The sequence below is a fragment of the Homo sapiens genome, chromosome 19, assembly GCF_000001405.40.
Source record: "Homo sapiens chromosome 19, GRCh38.p14 Primary Assembly".
Classification (NCBI taxonomy): Eukaryota; Metazoa; Chordata; class Mammalia; order Primates; family Hominidae; genus Homo; species Homo sapiens.
The window spans coordinates 35,173,293-35,187,951 of NC_000019.10; the positions used below are offsets into that span (position 1 = coordinate 35,173,293).

Here is a 14,659-nt window from a genome sequence, read left to right on the forward strand (position 1 = left end):
TATTCAAGGCCGGGCGCTGTGGCTCATGCCTGTAATCCCAGCACTTTGGGAGGCCGAGGCAGGTGGATGACCTGAGGTCAGAAGTTCGAGACCAGCATGGCCAACATGGTGAAACCCCATCTCTACTAAAAATACAAAAAATAGCCAAGCATGGTGGTGCATGCTGTAGTCCAGCTACTCAGGAGGCTGAGGCAGGATAATCGCTTGAACCCAAGAGGTGGAGCTTTCAGTGAGCCGAGATCACACCACTGCACTCCAGCCTGGGTGACAGAGTGAGACTCCATCTCAAAAACAAACAAACAAAACATAAGAGATATTCAAAGGTGATTTACTTTCTGACCATGTGACTCAACATGATTTTACCTTGTTTGGGGCCTAAAGCCATGTTGTGTGCTACCACGTCAGTTCAGGAGAATACCTGACAGCTTCCTTGCGCAGAATAGAGGCGGTACTAACTCAAGGGGGGATGAGTGGGGTTGGCCCTCGGTGTTCTCTCGCCACTCATTCTATCTTCCATGGGGTCGGGATGAAAACGCCAATACTATGTTTCCCAGATGCGCTCAAAGATGTGGTTTTGGGTGTGGATTCAGCTCTGCGAATTAGAGGCCCTCGCAGAAGACTTGGAAGACCAAAAGAGACCATCTTTCTGTGCCATTTGCTGTTTGCTGTGAGCTCATAGGATGGTGAAAGTGTTGAGTTTTTTTGGCTGTACCATTCCAGTGTCCAGTCACTAGCCTCGTAGGTACTAAAAGGCAGTTATGCTCATAAAAGAATATCTAAATTGGCCAGGCGTGGTGGCTTATGCTTGTATTCTCAGTACTTTGGCAGGCCAAGGCAGGCGGATCACCTGAGGTCAGGAGTTTGAGACCAGCCAGGCCAACATGGCAAAACTCTATCTCTGCTAAAATACAAAAATTAGCCAGGCGTGGTGTAGTCCCAGCTGCTCAGGAGGCTGAGGCAGGAGAATCGCTTGAGCCTGGGAGGCGGAGGTTTCAGTGAGCAGAGATTGCGCCATTGTACTCCAGCCTGGGCAACAGAGAGAGACTCCATTTTGAAAGAAAGAAAGAGAGAGAGAGAAAGAGAGAAAGAAGAAAGGAAGGAAGGAAGGAAGGAACGAAGGAAGGAACGAAGGAAGGAAGGAAGGGAAAGGGAAATCTAAATGGCCAATAAGCACATGAAAAGATGTTCAATATCAACAGTCATCAGTAAAAATAAATGAAAATCACAATGAGATACCACCACACACCCACTAGGATGGCTAAAATTAAAAAGACAGACACTTCCAAGTGGGAAGAGGATGTGGAACAAGTGGAATTTCCATTCGTAGCTGGACCAGAAAGGGATACAATCACTTTAGAAAACTGGCAGTTTCTAGGCTGGCCACGGTGGCTCACACCTGTAATCCCAGCACTTTGGGAGGCTGAAGACCATCTGAGGTCAGGAGTTCGAGACCAGCCTGGCCAACATGGTGAAGCCCCGTCTCTACTAAAAATACAAAAATTAGCTGGATGTGGTGGTGGGTGCTTGTAATCCCAGCTACCCGGGGGGCTGAGGCAGGAAAATCACTTGAACCCAGGAGACAGAGGTTGCAGTGAGCCGAGATCAGACCACTGTACTCCAGCCTAGGCAACAGAACGAGACTCGGTCTCAAAAAAAAAAAAAAGAAAAGAAAAGAAAATTGGCAGTTTCTTAAAAAGGTAAATGTGCACTTAACCTATGACCCAGCTATTCAACTCTTAAGTATTTATCCAAGAGAAGTCAAACCACATGTCCACACAAAGACCCACACACAAATGTTTACAGCAATATCTGTAATAGTAAAAAGACTAGAAACAACCCCAATGTCCATCAGCACAAGTGAGTGGACTACAAACTGTGGAAGGAAGAAAGACTGAGCTACACAACACATGAATGAATCTCAAAAGCATTGTCTTGAGTGAAAGAAACCACACACGAAAGAGCACAGACTGTGTAATTCCATTTATATGAAGTTCTGAAATATGCAAAACTGATTAACAGTGATAAAAATCAGAAGAGTAGTGGCCTCTACTATGTCAGCAGGAGGTGGGGAGAGACTGCAAAGGGGCATGAAAGAACTTTCTGGAAGGATTGAAATGTTCTGTGCCCTGATGACAGTGGTGCAGATTACATGTCCATATATTGATCAGAATGATCAAATTGTACGTTTAAGTTTTGAGGGCTCGGTGCCGTGGCTCATGCCTGTAATCACAACACTTTGAGAGGCCAAGGCAGGTGGATCACTTGAGGTTGGAGTTCGAGACCAGCCTGGCCAACATGGTGAAACCCCGTCTCTACTAAAAATACAAAAATTAGCCAGGCATGGTGGTGCATGCCTGTAATCCCAGCTCCTCAGAAGGCTGAAGCAGGAGAGTCGCCTGAACGTGGGAGGCGGAGGTTGCAGTGAGCCGAGATCGCGCCACTGGACTCCAGCCTGGGTGATGGAGCAAGACCCTGTCTCAAAGGAAAAAAAAAAAAAAGATTTGTACACTTTACTATGTGTAAGTGATATTTGGATGTGTGACCCCTCCAAATCTCATGTTGAAATGTGATCCCCGATGATGGAGGGGGGCCTGGTGGGAGGTGATTGGGTCATGGGGGTTGATCCCTCATGAATGGCTTGGTGTCCTCCCCATGGTCATGCGTGAGTTCTTGCCCTCTTAGCTCACGTGACAGCTGGTTGCTTAAAGAGCCTGGCACCTCCCCCTCTCTCTGTCTTACTCCTGCTCTTGCCATGGGACACGCCTGCTATCCCTTCACTTCCTGCTATGAGTAAAAGATTCCTGAGGTCTCTTCACCAAAAGCCAAGCAGATGCTGGTGCTGTGCTTGTACAGCCTGAAGAACCATGAGCCAAAGAATTCTCTTTTCCTTATAAATTACTGTCTCAAGTATTCTTTTATGGCAATGCAAAATGAACTAACACAGTAAATTATAACTCAATACAAAACAAGAACATTGAAAACAAATAGGCAGTTCTGTCCTGGGTGGTGATGATTTTCTGATCCCTGGATCTCAGACAGAGCAGCCAGATGCTGAAGCTGACGTGTACAATGGGGGCTCCTGATTAGGGTGGAGGGAGAAGCTCCTTGGGCAAGTCAGTCTGCTCATGTTGTGGAATCATTTGCAGTCTTCACTTAGAGCGCACTCCACCAGCCTTTCCAAAGAGCTTGTCAACCTCTAATTCCTTATGCCAAGCCAGACCAATTTTGCTTAAAATTGACAGTCACAAATAATCTCAAAATCTCGTGGCTTACAACAAAGGTTTGTTTCTCGCTCTCACTACATGTCCCTCACGGTTCAGCTAGGAGCTAGGATGGGACCCAAGATGATGGGGAAGCCTGGGCTGGGCGCAGTGGCTCACACCTGTAATCCCAGCACTTTGGGAGGCCGAGGCAGGCAGATCGCTTGATCTCAGGAGTTTGAGACCAACCTGGCCAATATGGTGAAACCTTGTCTCTACAAAAAATACAAAAATTAGGCCAAGTGCAGTGGCTTACACCTGTAATCCCAGCACTTTGGGAGGCCGAGGCAGGCGGATTACCTGAGGTCAGGAGTTTGAGACCAGCCTGGCCAACATGTCAAAACCCCATCTCTACTAAAAATAGAAAGATTAGCCAGGCATGGCGGTGCATGCCTGTAATCCCAGCTACTCAGGAGGCTGAGGCAGGAGAATCACTTGAACCTGAGAGGCGGAGGTTGCAGTGAGCCGAGATCAAGCCACTGCACTCCAGCCTGGGTGACAGAGTGACAGAGTGACACTCCGTCTCAAAAACTAAATAAAAATAAGCTGGGCATGGTGGCTTGCGCCTGTGGTCCCAGCTATTTGAGGGGTGAGGTGGGGGGATCGCTTGAGCCCAAGAGATGGAGGTTGCAGTGAGCTGAGATCACGCCACTGCACTCCAGAGTGAGACCCTGTCTAAAAGAAAAGAAAATAAAAGAAAAGAAATGTTTCTGGTTATCATAGCAGGCAGAAGGCAGAACAAGGAACAAGGTGAGACACACACTGGCTCTTATAGCCTCTGTCAGGAAGGGACACACCTCATTTCTGCTCACATTGTCATTATCGAAAGCAAATCACACGGGCACATTTGAGTTCAACAGCACAGAACATTACAATCTTCTTATAGGAAGGTATATTAATCCGTTTTCATGCTGCTGATAAAGACATATCTGAGATTGGGAAACTTACAAAAGAAAGAACTTTATTGGATTTACAGTTCCACGTGGCTGGGGAGGCCTCAATCATGGCAGAAGGTGAAAGGCACGTCTCACATGGTGGCAGACAAGAGAAGAGAGCTTGTGCAGGGAAACTCCCCTTTTTAAAACCCTCAGACCTCATGAGACTCATTCACCATCACAAGACCAGCAAGAGAAAGACCTGCCCTTATGATTCAACCACCTTCCACTGGGCCCCTCCCACAATATGTGAAAATTCAAGATAAGATTTGGGTGGGGGCACAGCCAAACCACATCAGAAGGGAACTGGGTATTGATGGGCAGTAATATTGTTTACTGCAAAGGACATTTATTATCTCACATAGCAAGAGTTCTAGAGGCAGAAACTGTATTCAGCTTCAGGAGACAGCCAGAAACAACGACTTAAACAGGTTATTTATTCCTCTCTCACATAGCAGAACTCTGAAGTACATAGTGCAAGGCTGGGAAAGAGGATCCCTAATATCATAAGGGACCAGACTTGCTGCTCTGCCACCCTAAGCATGTGGCCTGAAGCCTCAAGATCACAAAATAGCTGCAGAAGCCTCAGCCATCATGCCACATTCCAGGAAAAAAATCAAGAAGGGGAAAAAAAAGTGAGAAAGGAAAGGCACCACTAGGTGATTCAGCTCCTTTTAAAGGGACTTCCCAAGACTCCCTCCCAAAGATTTCTACTTCCTTCGGATTGCTACCTCTAATTGCAAAGGACACAGAAATGTGGTCTTTTAGCTGAGTCCGTGACACCCCAAATACCATCAAGGAAAATAATTGCCCTCAGGAATTTGTTGATTAGGATGCTGAGAAGGATGGGGAGCTGCCACCAAGTCAGGAGATGGAGCCTCAAGTCATTTTTACTCCAATGTAAAAGGAAAAGATAACTGTTAAGACTGGGGGTTGGCCAGGCACAGTGGCTCACACCTGTAATCTCAACACTTTGGGAGGCCAAGGCAGGTGGATCACCTGAGGTCAGGAGTTCGAAACCAGCCTGGCCAACAGGGTGAAATCCCATCTCTACTAAAAATACAAAAATTAGCCAGGCATGTGACACATGCCTGTAATCCCAGCTACTCGGGAGGCTGAGGCAAGAGAATCACTTGAACCTAGGAGGCGGAGGTTGCAGTGAGCCAAGATTGCACCATTGCACTCCAGCCTGGGTGACAAGAGTGAGACGTCATCTCAAAAAAAAAAAAAAAACTGGTCGTTTTTGAAACTTCCAGAGGACAGCAGCACTGATTCTCAGACTTGATAGAGACTTCCAGACATCACTTCAACAGCGCCTCCAATGCTCTCCAATGCTACCCAATCCCTTTCTGGCAAAAGACATCTTTTTCTGTGGCATCATGGTCTGAAGTGAAGCCTCCTCCTCCTCCACCCTTACATCAGGGGAGATATCTTGCCAGGAGCTAATGGAGTGGATGTTGTAATTCAGCTAGCCTCCTGAGTACAATTCTGTCAAGGTTCTTGTTTTGAAATTGAGGCCAGATCACATTAACTGGAAGGAATCTGCCTTTTCTCATCTGACACTAGATTGTGCTTTTCTTGGAGGTGTTGAGGATGACCTCCAATGATTGCTTCGGTAAAGTCTGTTGGCTTCTCAAGAAGTTATTGAGTCAAGGACTCCAGCTGCTGATGGTGGGAGGTTAAACAGGGTTTGAAACATCGCCTGAGGTGGCTTTGTAATGTATCACCTTGGCCAGGTTAAACTACACTTCCCAGAATCTTTTTCCCTAGATGCCTGTGTTTTCTGGTTAGGGTGAACCACAAGAGACATTCTTGTCAGGGATCTGCTGGGTAGAGGTGAAGCCACGGACATTTCGCAGCTTATACCAGTTGTCACTTATCAGACAGCTCATCTCATTGGCATAAGGCAGCAACCAGGGCTGCAACTGTTTCACCTTCCGCTGGATCCTCCTTCAGCTTCCCCAGTTGTTGGGCCAGACATGTGTGCTCAGCCCCGTGATGAAGGACCATGACTCTAGCAAGACACCCACAGCACCAAGGTCATAGACAACAAGAATTAGCATGGGGCTGGGTGCAGTGGCTCATGCCTGTAATTCCAGCACTCTGGGAGGCCGAGGCGGGTGGATCACTTGAGGTCAGGAGTTCGAGACCAGCCTGGTCAACATGGTGAAACTCCATCTTTACTAAAAATACAAAAATTACCCAGGCGTGATGTTGCATGCCTGCAATCCCAGCTACTCGGGAGGCTGAGGCAAGAGAATCTCTTCAACCTGGGAAGCAGAGGTTGCAGTGAGCAGAGATCACACCACTGCACTCCAGCCTGGTCGACCGAGTGAAACTCTGTCTCAAAAAGAAAAACAAAAAGAAAGAAAGAAAGAAAAAAAAGAAGAGAAAAGAAAAAGAAAAAGAATTAACATAGGATTCAGTCCATCCTTGTGGACTCCAGCTTGTGCTTGTGGGTTCTAACTTGTTCCGTGCTCTCCCCAATCTTACCTCAATCTTCCCTTCCTGACTTCCTGCACCTGTGGGTTTCAAGTTCCAGCATCAAGACAACAGCCCTACAAAGAGAGCTTCACTAGCAACTACAATTGTTGAAGGTCAAATTCGTGTAGCAAACTGTGTGTGTGTACGCCCACATATGTATTAAAGGTTCAGCTTTGCTGATACAGAATTTGGTACTAAGAGTGGTTCCAGAAGGCCAGAATCTTAACAATGAGATCTGGTTTTTCTTTCTCTTTTTTTTTTTTTTTTGAGATGGAGTCTCACTCTGTCACCCAGGCTGGAGTGTGGTGGCGTGATCTTGGTTTACTGCAAGTTCCGCCTCCCGGGTTCACGCCATTCTCCTGCCTCAGCCTCCCCAGCAGCTGGGACTACAGGCGCCTGCCACAACGCCCAGCTAATTTTATTGTACTTTTAGTAGAGACGGGGTTTCACCGTATTAGCCAAGATGGTCTCAATCTCTTGACCTTGTGATCCACCTGCCTCGGCCTTCCAAAGTGCTGGGATTACAGGCGTGAGCCACCGCGCCCGGCCGAGATCTGGTTTTTCTAGAATTGGTTCTCTAATTAAATTGAAAGCCATTAATGACCTTGTTTTCAGTAATGAAGGGTACACTGATAGGTCATAGCATGGAGTGGCAAGGCAGTCACTCAGACCATCACCAGTAGCTTCCTATATTAGGTTTCTATAGAAGGAAAGGCTCTGGGTGACTGAGTATTTGCTTCCACAGAACAGTTTAGTGAAAATAAGAAGTGTAATGGGGTTGGCTCATTGCTGCTGACTGTGCTGGAAAACTTGGAGCTGAGGTGGAATGATGGCACTCAGAACTTTACCTTCCCAGCTCTGGTTCTGTATAAGGGACTTGAAAGCTTCTGTGAGTGGTGGCCCTGAAAGAAACTTGTATTTCCCATAGTCATAGGGCTGAGATTTCTGAAAACCAAAGCTAAAGTCTAATCCAACAAAAGTTGAACTTCTAACCTCACAGGGTCTTTTTTGTTAAAGTTAGGGCTTTGATTGGGGAGGAATGGGATCCTGAAAATTGGGATGGAGACATATGAGCAGATTCCAGTGAAGCTGAGGACTTTAAGACCCCTAAATTCTGCCAAATCTCTTTGCCTGCAGAGGCAGCCCTTTCACTCTTGCCTGCAGAAGTGAGTCTCCTCTTCCCTGAAGAAATTGTAATGGCCTTCCATAAGGCAAGGCATCTATGCTCCTCAGGACCTATTCCTATCACTTCTTACTTCTAAGACCTATGACTAGACTCAAGGCTCAAGAGAATGTGAAAGGTGAGGTATAAAATGTGACCCATGAGGGGGTGCAACACACACCCAAATAATTGTCAATTTATATCAACAGAGAACTGGGGAATATGTGCAGAAATGGATCTTAAGGGTGTGGAATCAAGGTGGAAGACAATATAGTTGGATCAAGTCAAATGTATTTACATTGGCCCACCAAGCAGAGATGTAATGTTTGAGCTTGAGGGGCTAGGAATGGTTCTGACAGTTTGCTTGGTTGGCTGATTGATATATGGACCCGTACCTGGGCCTATAATAGGTTGAAAATGCCAGAATTTCCTTGGGTGTACTAAAGAGCATGAATCAGCATATTTTTTTTTCTGTAAAAAGCCATAGAGTAAATGTTTTAGGTTTTACAGGCCAGTCTCAGTTTTTCACTCTTCAGCTCTCCCATTGTAGCAATAAAGCCATCAAGGACAATTTGTAAGTAACTGAGCATGGCTGTGCTCCAATATAAGTTTATTTATAAACACTGAAATTTGAATTTGTATCATTTTCATGTGTCACAAATATTATTTTTCTTTTGATTTTATTTCAACTAAAAAAATGTAAAAACCAATTCTATTTTGTGGGCCACACGAAAACAGCCCAGGAATTAGATTTGACCCATGGACTGTCATTTGACGATTCCTGCTGTAGTGAAAGGTGGCCAAAGGCTCAGAGAGATTGGAATGCTGGAGTGGCTTTATCATGTAAGATTTGCTCATCTATACACATTGACAGTGCCAAGGGGACACGACTTTCATCCTAGCTATCAGAAATAAATTTGTGAAGGAGAGTCCTAGCATCCTTGAAGAGCTCTGTGGTGGCTCTTCTTTGTAGGTCAGAAACTCTAGTGGAGGTCATTAAGATGGCTGACCAGAAGTGCCCAACACTCAGCTGCGTAGAGTGTCTAAGAGAAAACACTGGAATTCAGCAAAGAAGTGACAAAACCCCAGAATATTGTGATGGCAGCATAGACAGGGAAGCAAAGCACCTGAGCAGTATTGGTGCAGAGCCAAGAGGACTCCCCATTGCAGGTAAAAGGTAAGTGGGGGGTGCCCTGCAGTCCTTGCAGCAATCCTAGCTATAAGAGGGCCTCACGGTCCTCACAGGCCTGAAGCCCAGTCTAGGGAGCTGCCTAGAATCCACATGGCTACACTGCCCCAGAGAAAGGACTCACACTGAGGCCCCACTCCCAAAGACCCAGGCTGCTACCACACAGGGCTATTTTGAGAACAGAGCCCACTGCTAGAGGGCATTCTGCCTTGGATGCCAATAGCTCCTGCATCTCCACATCCCTGGGGTCCTTCTGTTATTCCACCATGTCTACACAAAAGGGTGCAATGCCACAACACCAGTTAGATCCAGAAGTACAGCTATGACCCCAGCATTTGAACTCATACAGTGCCCCACACCCCAGGGAACAGGCAATCTATCACAGCAGGGTGGCAGCCCCCAAAACATGGGGAACCAATGTGCAAATCCCTCAGGGACCAAGGACTTGCCTGCCTGGTGCCCAACAGTGATGGCAATGCTGCCTCACAACTAGCAGAGCCACCATGCCCAGTGCACACTTCCCTAGGGTTCACCCAGCTCCTTCCTCCAGCAAAGCCACACCACTGCCTCCTTAAACACCTGAATATTAGGCCACTGAAGTATTCACAGACACTGCTGACATTAATTACAGCCAAAGAAATCACATGGAGATCATACTACTGTGTTTATCTAGAACCACAGCCAAAGCATCCTACACAACCGACACTATAGGGTACATATACAGGAAAAAGTCTTTACTTATGAAAGTTACTCCATCAAATTGGAAGAGGTAGCTATTATACCAGATGTGTAGGAACACAAGAAACATGAAAAAGCAAGAAAACATGACACCTCTAAAGGAACACAATAATCCTCCAATAATAGACCCCAAAGAAAAGAACATCTGTGCAATTCCCAAAAAAGAATTCAAGTGATCATAAGGAAATTTGATGGGATACAAGAGAATACAAATAGACAATTCAACAAAATCAGGAAAACAGGGCTGGGCGCGGTGGCTCACGCCTGTAATCCCAGCACTTCGGGAGGCCGAGGTGGGTGGATCACCTGAAGTCAGGAATTTGAGAGCATCCTGGCCAACATGGCAAAACCATGTCTCTACTAAAAATACAAAAACTAGCCAGGCATGATGGTGCATGCCTATAGTCCCAGCTACTTGGGAGGCTGAGGCAGAAGAATCGTTTGAACCCTGGAGGCGGAGGTTGCAGTGAGCCAAGGTCGTGCCACCGTACTCCAGCCTGGGCAACAGAGTGAGACAACATCCCCCGCCCAAAAAAATCAGGAAAACAGTTCATGATCAGAATGAAAAAAAATCAGTAAAGAGATGGATATCATAAAAAAAAACACATAAATTTTGGAGCTGAAGACTTAATAAATGATTTTTTTTTTTTTTTTTTTGAAACAGAGTCTTGCTCTTGTCACCCAGGCTGGAGTGCAATGGCATGATCTTGGCTCACTGCAACCTCTGCCTCCCAGGTTCAAGCAATTCTTCTGCCCCAACCTACTGAGTAGCTGGGATTACAGGCCCCTGCCACCATGCCCAGCTAATTTTTGTATTTTTAGTAGAGACGGGGTTTCGCCATGTTGGCCAGGCTGGTCTCGAACTCCTGACCTGGTGATCTGCCCACCTCAGCCTCCCAAAGTGCTAGAATTACAGGCGTGAGCCACCGATCCCGGCCAATAAATGAAATTTAAAATATAATTGAGAGCTTCAACAACAAACTAGGTCAAGCAGAAGAAAGAATTTCTAAACTTGAAGACAGGTCTCTTTTGAAATAACTCAATCAGACAAAAAATAAAATAAAAAAGAATGAAGGAAGCCTACAAGACCTATGGGACATTGTTAAGCAAACAGATATTCCAATTTCCAAAAGGAAAAGAGATGAGAAAAGACACAGAAATCCTATGTAATAAAGTAATAGCTGAGAACTTCCAAAGTCTCGGGAAAGGTATGGACATCCAGATTCAGGATGCTCAAAAGTCCCCAAATAGATTCAACCCAAAAAGGTCCTCTCTGTAGCACATTCTGGTCAAACTGTCAAAAGTTGAAGACCATGAGGGAATTTGAAAAACAGCAAGAGAAAAGCATCAAGTCACATATAAGGGAATCCCCATTAGACTAATAGAAGACTTCTCAGCAGAAACCTTATATTACAGGAGCGAATGGGATGATATATTCTAAGTGATGAAAGAAAAAAACCTGGCAGCCAAGAATACTGTAACAGCAAATCTATCCTTTAGAAATGAAGGAGTCATAAAGTCTTTCCCAGACAAGCAAAAACTGAGGGAATTTATTACCACTAAAGTAGCCTTACAAGAAATCCTCAAGGAGTAGTAAATCAGCAAATTATCTGAATAGGCATTTCTCAAAAGAAGACATACAAATGACCAACAAGTATATATGAAAAATATTCAACATCATTAATCATCTGGCAAATGCAAATTGATACTACAATAAGATATCATCTCACTCCACTTAGAATGGCTGTTATCAAAGAGAAAAAATAACAAAAGCTGGCAAGGATGCAGAGGAAAAGGAACTCTTATACACTGTTGGTGGAAATGTAAATTAGTACAATCATACTGGAAAACAGTATGGAGGCTCCTTAAAAACACCTAAAAATAGAACTATCCTATCTATGATCCAGCAATACACTCTAGGGTATATATTCAGAGGACAGGAAATGAGTATGTCAAAGAGATATCTGTACTTATATGCCAAAGATAAGGTAAGCATGGTTACTATAGTTGATAGTGAAGTCAAAATAGTAATAAGAATAATGTGACTCAAAGAGACCTTTGGCATTCACTACTTTATCATGGTATGCCTCGAAATGAAATAGATGGGGGAGCCTACTAAACTCTTGCTTGATCTGTCTAGGTGGGTAAGTTCTGAGTCTGGCAGACTTGCAGCACCATTCTCAATAGCCAAGATATGGAATCAACGTAAGTGTTTTTCAAGAGATGAATGGATAAAGAAAATGTGGTACAGATACACAATGGAATACTATTCCACCGTAAAAATAATGAAATCTTGTCATTTGTGGCAACATTAATGAGCCTGTAAGACATTATGTTAGGTGAATTAAGCCAAGCATGGGAAGATAAATACCACATATTCTCATTCATATGTGGAAGCTAAGAAAGTTGATATCATAGAAGTAGAGAATGTAATAGTGGTTACTAGAGGCTGGATAGGGGTTGAAGGGGATAGGAAGATGTTGGCAAATGGATACACAATTACAGCTAGATAGGAAAAATAACTTCCAGCATTCCTTAGCACTGTAGGATGACTATAATTAGCAATGATTTATTGCACCATTCCTCAGGACAATCAACCAGTCTGCTGATGGCTAATTAATTACGTCGAACTGTCTCTTTTTTAATTTTCTTTTCTTTTTTGAGACAGAGTCTCGCTCTTGTCACCTAGGCTTGAGTGCAATGGAACAATCTCGGCTCATTGCAACCTCCACCTCCCAGGTTCAAGAGATTCTCCTGCCTCAGCCTCCTGAGTAGCTGGGATTATAGGCATCCATCACCACACCCAGCTAATTTTCATATTTTTAGTGAAGACAGGGTTTCATCATGTTGGCCAGGCTGGTCTCAAACTGCTGACCTCAGGTGTTCCACCCATCGCAGCCTCCCAAAATGTTGGGATTACAGGTGTGAGCCACTGCGCCCAGCCACATTGAACTGTTCCTGTCATGGAAAGGGCAACTCTTTTTTCTTATTTTAATTTTTTAATTTTTGTAATAGAATTCGCTTACCATACAATTCACATGCCATACAGTTCACACATTTAAAGCATACAAGCCGATCTGATTATTTCACATTGCATGCCTGTATCAAAACATCTCATGTTCTCCATAAATAAATACACCTATGATGTACCCACAGCAATTAAAAATTTTTAAAAATCATGTACAAGTCAATGGTTTTTAGTATATCCATAGATATGTACAGCCATCATCACGATCAATTTAAAAACATTTTTTTTTTTTGAGAGAGAGTCTTGCTCTGTCACCCAGGCTGGAGTGCAGTGGCATGATCACGGCTCACTGCAAACTTGGCCTCCCGGGTTTACGCCTTTCTCCTGCCTCAGCCTCCCGAGTAGCTGGGACTACAGGTGCCCGCCACCACGCCCAGCTAATTTTTTGTATTTTTAGTAGAGCCGGGATTTCACCATGTTAGCCAGGATTGTCTCGATCTCCTGACCTCGTGATCCACCTGCCTCGGCCTCCCAAAGCGCTGGGATTACAGGTGTGAGCCACCGTGCCCAGACCAATTTTAAAATATTTTTATCACCCCCACAAAAGAAACCCAATGCTCCATAGCTATTTTCCTCCTGTTCCCAAATGTCTCAGCCCTAAGCAACCACTAGTCTACTCTCTGTCTCTATATATTTTCCTATTTTGGACATTTCATATAAATGTATTCATATAATATGTGGTGTCTTGTGATTGGCTTCTTTCACTGAATGTAATGTCTTCAAGGTTCATCCGCATCATAGCATGTATCAGTACTATGTTCCTTTCTATGGCTGAATAATATTTCATTGTGTGGATTTACCACATATTGGGGTTTTTTTTGTTTTTTTTTTTACAGACCCCGCCCCCCCAAATATTGTTTATGCCTCCATCAGTTTGTAGATATTTGGTTTTGTTTTCACCTTTTGGCTATTATGAATAATATGAAAATAAACTTATGTATTTGTTATTATGTGGACATAAGTTTTCATTTCTCTTAGGAATAAAATTGCTGGGTCAAATGGTGACTGCATTTTTAACAGTTTGAGGAACTACTGGACTGTTTTCCATAGTGGCTGCAGTGATGAGGTGTGGTGGCTCACGCCTGTGATCCCAGCATTTTGGGAGGCCGAGGGGGGCAGATCATCTAAGGTCAGGAGTACGAGACCAGCCTGGCCAACATGGCGAAACCCCGTCTCTACTAAAAATACAAAAATTAGCCTGGCGTGCTGGCAGGCACCTCTAATCCCAACTACTCGGGAACCTGAGGCAAGATAATCCCCTTGAACCTGGGAGGCAGAGGTTGCAGTGAACCGAGATCACACTGCTGCATTCCAGCCTGGGCAACAGAGGGAGACTCTGTCTCAAAAGAAAAAAAAAGTTTTGTTGAACTAACTCATGAAGCCATCTGGTTTAAGACTTTTCTGTGTCCATTAAAATGATCATGTGGTTTTGTAATTTATTCTGTTGATATGGTGTATTACACTAATTTTCAGATGTGAAGCCACTGTTACATTCCTGGAATAAGTCCCACTTGGTCGTGGTCTATAACACTTTTTATATGTCTCTGGATTTAGTTTGCTAGTATTGTGTTAAGGATATTTGCATTTATATTTATAAGAGATATTTGTCTGTAGTTTTCTTGTGTCTTTCTCTGGTTTTTGTACTGGGGTAATACTGGTCCCAAATAATCCACTGGAAAGCGTTGCCTCCTTTTTTTAATTTTTGCAAGAGTTTGAGAAGAATTGGTATTAGCTCTTCTTTAAATTTTTAGAAAAATCTGCCAGTGAAGCTATCTGGTTCTTGGTGTGTGTGTGTGTGTGTGTGTGTGTGTGTGTGTGTATGTGTGTGTGTGTCTTTGGTCATTAATTCAATCTCTTTACTTA

At 44.3% G+C, this 14,659-nt stretch overlaps 1 annotated feature.

Annotated features, from left to right (window-relative positions):
- Window positions 2,559-2,715: a silencer, noted in NCBI's record as "fragment chr19:35666754-35666910 (GRCh37/hg19 assembly coordinates)". NCBI's record gives its function as "represses an EF-1alpha promoter that drives an FKBP-Casp9 reporter gene in an ReSE screen in phorbol 12-myristate 13-acetate-treated (for megakaryocytic differentiation) K562 erythroleukemia cells {active_cell/tissue: K562(+PMA)}" and the evidence as "EXISTENCE:reporter gene assay evidence [ECO:0000049][PMID:32094911]".